At 37.1% G+C, this 6,636-nt stretch overlaps 1 annotated feature.

The window, feature by feature from the left end:
- Positions 683-977: a silencer, noted in NCBI's record as "tiled region #14985; HepG2 Repressive non-DNase unmatched - State 24:Quies". NCBI's record gives its function as "represses a minimal TATA promoter and a strong SV40 promoter by Sharpr-MPRA in HepG2 cells {active_cell/tissue: HepG2}" and the evidence as "EXISTENCE:reporter gene assay evidence [ECO:0000049][PMID:27701403]".

The following is a 6,636-nucleotide window of genomic DNA, read 5'->3' as shown; positions in this document are numbered from 1 at the left end:
AGCACAGCCTCACCTGTTTGAACTCATGTCTCACAACCCAACGCCTCCAAGTAAGTTTTTTGGCTCCATGAGAACCCATTTGGAAAACATTGATTCTAAAAAAGTAAAGACCATCAAGGAAATGTAAATGCAACCAACCCTTGTGTCTGCTTGCACTGATTAAAAGCAAAATGAGTATCACTGAGATTGAGAGTAGGAGATGAGAGGTTATCTTTCTGTCTTTGAGTCGGATGCAGACTCTAGAAGTTTCCTGAGTTAACCTGACTTGCATGACAAATTTCTTTTTCAGTATGCTACCGTCCCCACCACTGGGTCAGGCACAAAATGAGCACACAATACTCTTAATTTGAGTTTGTTGTGCATCATGTAAGTAACCCTTGACAGAGAAATCATTAGCCCTATTAAATACTGTGACTATTTTCTCACTTAATCTTCATTATCCTCTCAGGTAGATGGATTTCACCCCATTCTACAGATGAGGAAACTGAAGTTTGAGAGGGGGAAAATGTTTGTGGTAACATTTCTTATCATAACACTCTTGAATATTCAACAATACAGAATATCCCTCTTTGTGTTTGTACTCTAATTCATGAGCAAAATACTAAATGTTTTTAAATTTTGGGAACCTTTAAAAGTAGGTTTTATGGGTGGAATTTGTAGGAAAAATAAAACATAGGAATCACAAAGGAAAACAATGTTTTATTGGCTTATTCAAATAACACAATAGTTATTTTCAAAGGGAAACAACAGATAAACATTGTTTACATAAGGGTAATTCAGCATTACTTGGCTGCACTCATGTTTGTTGATGAAGCTGAAATGAACTTTCACTGAAATATACTTTGAAGCCCAGCTCTGGCCTGGTTCCAAGGGTGGAGTGAAGGAGAATTTGGCCAGCAGCTGGTCCCGATTGTATTCAGGATCCTATGCTGAGCACAGAAGATACCACATTTCCTTTGGAAGGCAAGGCCTTTTCCCTACTGTTTGAAACACCTTTTAAATTTTCTTCTCCTCTCAGATAAGCAGCAGGAGGAACAAGGGCTAGGATAGCCCTGTTTAAAGATCTTACAATTAATGTGTTATTAGAGTGTACTTCCTTGATACTAACTTGATATCCATGTTCTTAATTAGGCCAGAGAGACTCTCTGTCACTGGTGTTATTCTCACAGTCATCTCTAGAGATCAATTGGTTTTGGATAGGGCTGACTTTAGACACACTACACAGATGTGTAATATCTACACAAATGTCTGCCCAAAGTCCATCTTCAATTAGCTGGATGACAGAGCTCCAGAGTTCTGACTTTCCTCTCATATTCAACAGAAATCCTGATAATCTATATATATATAGCTTGAACATATGTATTGTGAATCTCTAAGAAAAGGATAAGAAATGTATTTATACAGAATATACATTCTGTATACAGAAATATACAATCACTGTATATTTGATCTCTGAATTCTAGAGGCCATTGGTGACTTATTTAATGTTTTACTTGGGTGTCATAAGGAAGCTAATCAATGAATAAACCAGACTGGAAAGACATTCATTAATCTCATCTTTCTTCTATAGTGGTTCTCAGTCTTGGTTGCATGATAGTATTATATGGCAAGCTTTAAAAAATACTGATTCTCAGGTCTGCACCAGATCAATTGCATCAAATCTCTGTAGATGAGGTATGGCAGTTTTCAAGAGTTCTGTGGTGCTGCCAGGGTTGAGAATTGTTGAGCTAAGTGAATATTTCTATTTAAAAAAATGTAAAGTTATATTGTATCTTTAGAATTTCAAAATTTAGGAGTTTATTTACCTAAAAATAGATAGGACTGCTCATCCATATTGAGTTTAAACTCACCAGATGACATTAAGGTCTTCATGTGCAGACAATGTAGTGCATGTTAAGGTAACTCTTTGTAACCTGACTTAACAATGTGTGGTTCACAAGTCTGGGAGCTTGTTAGAAATGCAGAAACTCAGGCCACATGACAGAATCATCGAATTTAAAATGCGCCTTTTAACAAGACTCTCTAGGGAGGTTTGCATGCACTTTCAAGTTTGGAAGGGATCGATATACAATTTCAGCTATTGGAAAATCTTCTGAAGTTAGTAGATCATTGTTTTTTGATCCAATAGTACATCAGAAAATGAACCAAACATGGAGTTAAGAGAGGGATGGAGGACATTTCCCCAATGTGTGGAGGTCATCCAAATGGAAGCTTTCCCAAGATGATTCATAGGTCTTCATTTCAGTCGTTAATTCTTTTCATCTGACACCTAGTTTCATTTCCTAATGAACGTGCTATCTTTTCACATATGCTTTCTTTCTTTGGCACTACACTGAATTTTTCATCCTATGTAAGAAAATTGCAACCAAAGGCAAGAGAGGCAAATATTGAGGGATGAGGGAATTTGGTGATTGGCAACTGGTGACTGAGAGTCTTAGGCAACAGAATATTGAGTTTCCAACATGCTTCATAGTGCAGCAACCAGGGTCACATTGAGTCTAAGCAAAACATCTTTAACTTATGTGTGTATGCGTGATTCGTCTACCTCTCTTCCGGGCTTAGTTTAATTCCTCTTGTGTTTCTCCTCAATCTCACCTTACCCTTCTTTGTAACTTGGGACAGGTTGGAGAGAAGCAGGCAGATAAACTTTCCCTAGAAGAACTAAGGATACTTGTTAACCTTAAAAAGCACATTCCTGGTAAGACTTTCGCTGCACAAACCTTTGGTGCATAGGAAGGCAGGGACTCTAGTTTGACTACTAATCCATTGCCACTTGGAGTACGTTCCCAATAAATGAGAGTTTCTTTCTTTCTCAAACCCTCTCCTCTTTCCAAACATCCTCCAAAATAGCTAATACTTTAAAAATAGCTAACAATTATTGCACATTTTACATTTATCAGAAACTAAGTACTCAATAGCTATTAATTCATTCAGTTTTAACAAGAAAACTGTGAGAGCACTGAAACACAGAGTTTTATTTTTGTTTTTTTAGGTAAATTTTTTAGAGCAATTTTAAATTTACAGAAAAATGCAAAGACAGTACAGAGAATTCACATATGCCACATATCCAAGGTAACATTATTATTAACACCTTACATTAGTATGGTTACAAATAAGAAACCAATATTAATATATTATTATTAACTGAACTCCATACTTTTTTAGATTTCATTACTTCTTAATGTCTTCTTACTGTTCCTAGCATGAGATGTTTAAAGTAACTTCCAGTAGGAGTTAGCAGATCTTGGATTCCAGCTCTAACTCCAGAGGCCCAAACTTTTAAGTGCTACTTTGTAATGCCTTGTGAGAGGAACGTATAGCCATTAAATCAGATATCTCAATAAGAAACTACACCAATTAAAAGCAGGAAAAAGGGCTTTTTGCTTTCGTTCTGGAAAAGCTAGTACAATCTGAGGAATCATCCTGATGTTGTGGAAAGCTCATATGTGGGGTTGTGGTCAAACAGATCAAGTCCATCTTCATCATTTATAAGTAGTTAGGCCTCAGTGTCTGAAAAATGGGCGTGATAACATTTAAGGGCTATTGAGAGGATTTTTATAAAGGGAAAGGAACTAAGATTTTTGTAAAACTGATTTTTGTAAAGGGGAAGATACTCGTTGAGAATGTTCGATATGTCTGATGCTAAACTACTTGAGCAATATTGTTTTCATTTTCTTTCTCTCTTGCATATCCCATACCTGTCGTCATCAACATTTACTTTCTGTAAAGAGACATTTAATTACTGTAAGGTGATGAGATGTAGGGGTGGCCTCTTAAGGGAAAACTGTGATATTTTTCTTTGTGCTAAGGAAGTTTGATGGCTCATCTTCTTGCATGACTGCATGTCACTGATTTTATGACAGCATCACAAGACTAGATCCACATGAGCATTTAAGGCCAGTCCCCTTCTATTTTTATAATGTGCTATCTCCCTATCTCAGTTTCAGGATATTTAAATAACTTGATACAAAACCCCAGAAGAATGATTTTATACACAAGGATGAACTCAGGATTTAGAGGCATTTTTCCAAGAGTTTGTCTGGTTTTGCAAAAGCGTTGGCTCCAGGGTGTTCCTACTTCTTCCTGGTGTATGTGACGGCATCAGGAACAGGGAGTTCATCTTTTCGACACAGAACATGGCTTTGGCAAAATGGCAAAATGTCTGTCCAGCCAGGAAAAAACTTTCACACACTTATTCATGTTCACTCCACCCACACCCAAGTCTGATCCTGGGAGCTGCCTTTATAGAGTTGTCATCATATTCCAGTGTGGATACTGGGGATCAGATAATACATACTGAGCAGTGCCTCAAGCCTAGTAAGTTGTTCCTCCTTTGCTGACCTGTCACTTTCTTTCCTTTTTTTTCCCTGTCATGCTTCAATATCTCTCAATATGTCTATGCTATGAGTGTTAGGATAGACATTTAATTACTTTAACCAAAATTTGCAGAATGTGTTAAAGTCACAGAAAGGGCTTTAAAAATGAGATATTTCAAACTTTGTTCCAGCACAGCCCCCTCATTAACTATAAAAGGCATAGTCTCATTTAAATGCCTATAGAACAAAATTTTAAAAACTTTTTCAAAATATATGAATATAAATAGAAGCCTAATTTAGAAATTCTGGGTTCTTTCCCACTTAGGATACCAGCTATTTCATTTTCTGCATGAAGGGAAACACATCTGAATCATACATCAATGAATTAAAAAATCAAATTTTGTAATATAGGCCTCAAAGGGCACCATGAGAATTTGTAACATTCATTCAGAAATTCCTAAACCATTTCAAATAATATTGTTGAAAATCTCCAGAAAAGAGATTTTGTGACTTTCTGTAAAGTGATCTATTTTCTTAAATCCTTCCTGTCTCCTGTTCATACCTCAAGGGAAATGGAGGATTATCATTTCCCATTAACATCCCAACAGGCTTACACCAACTCCACAAGAGGACGGGTAACTCCCACAAGGTCTGACTGCCAGTGCCAGTCAAGATGAATAAGAGTAGGCCAAGAATACCTGTGGCTCTGGGTAGCAGGATAGCCTCATGGCCAGGAATGTGTGCTCTAGACGTACACAAAACCAATTGTTTGGTTCTGCTACTTATCTGTTTGTTTGTTTGTTTGTTTGTTTGTTTGTTTTTTAACTATCTAGCTTTGGAAAATTACTTATTTTATCTGTCGGTTTCATCATCTTTAATTGAAGTAATAATACTACCCAACTCATCAAGCTGCGACAGATGAATGAACACATTTTAAGGGGTTAAAGATACGTTTGCTAGATGTGATTATTATTCTCTGCTCTACTAGACACTGTGCTTCCAGAGATATGTTAAACGTTTAGTCTGACATATCATTCATAGGCCATTAATATTCCCATTTTATGGATGAAGGAACAGGACAAAGTGGGATTAGAAACTTGTCCAAGAAGGTATCATTAAAAAGCCGCAGAACTCAGAGCTGAGAGTTGAACTCAAAGTGACCTCACTTCAAAGCTCATTTCACCATTCTGCCTGCATAATGAGGCAATTATCTTCTCTTCCTACAAAGGATACCTTGAGGTTCACTTCAGGTACCCTGTGAACATGGTATAATTTCCATTTATAATAATTAGGACTTTTTTTTTTTGAGAGGGAGTCTCACTCTGTGGCCCAGGCTGGAGTGCAGTGGCGCAATCTCAGCTCACTGCAACCTCTGCCTCCTGGGTTCAAGCGATTCTCCTGTCTCAGTCTCCATGGGATTACAGGCATACGCCACCATGCTCGGCTAATTTTTGTATTTTTAATACAGTCAGGGTTTCACCATGTTGGCCAGGCTGGTCTTGAACTCCTGAACCTCAGGTGATCCACGCTCCCTGGGCTCCCAAAATGCTGGGATTATGGGCGTGAGCCACCGTTCCCGGCTCTGTTTAACTCAACTGAATTTTTCAATGAGCAATTTAGACTTTTTTCCAAGAATGTATAAAGTGCCTTAAAGTGAAAACCAATTTTTAGGCCTCTTTGTTTTTTTTTTTCTCTGTTTATTCACACATTTATTTATTGAGCAGGTACTTATTGAAAGCTACCGTGTATACAATGTTGAAGGTAAAATGCAGATCAAAAACTGTTACTGCTAACTGCCACTTACCTTAAGGTATTATCTAAGTAGAAGAGATGAGACAACTCCTTATTCAATGTATGAAAAAAATATGCAACATCATATAATTAACTACTAACCTGAGTGTCACAAGAAAGAAAATACTGTGTAAACTGGGATAACTTTAGATGGCTCAGTGAAAAAAGTAATTCTTGAGCTAGGAATAAAATAGTAGAGATAATTTGCCTATAACATAGAAAGCATTCCAGACCAATGATATACCATGAAGGAAAGTGTGCAAGTACAATTAAACATGGCTTATTTGGGAAAAAATGAGGGAACAATCTCATTTGAACAAAAAACTGTGTTCAGAAGACTTGGGAGCTGGAACAAGAAAGACTATTTAAAGATTATACTGTGCCCAGCCACGGATAATAAATTGAAATGTTTTGATTTTCTCATATAGGCATTTTAACTGCCAGAAAACAGTGGAGTCATGTTAAAAGTGAGCGGCAAAATTCTATGACCAGCCAAATATACTTATGTGCGAGAGGAACGGATTGACAT

Source organism: Homo sapiens, chromosome 7 (assembly GCF_000001405.40).
Source record: "Homo sapiens chromosome 7, GRCh38.p14 Primary Assembly".
In the NCBI taxonomy this organism is placed as follows: domain Eukaryota; kingdom Metazoa; phylum Chordata; class Mammalia; order Primates; family Hominidae; genus Homo; species Homo sapiens.
This window is presented reverse-complemented; position numbering and strand designations above follow the sequence as displayed.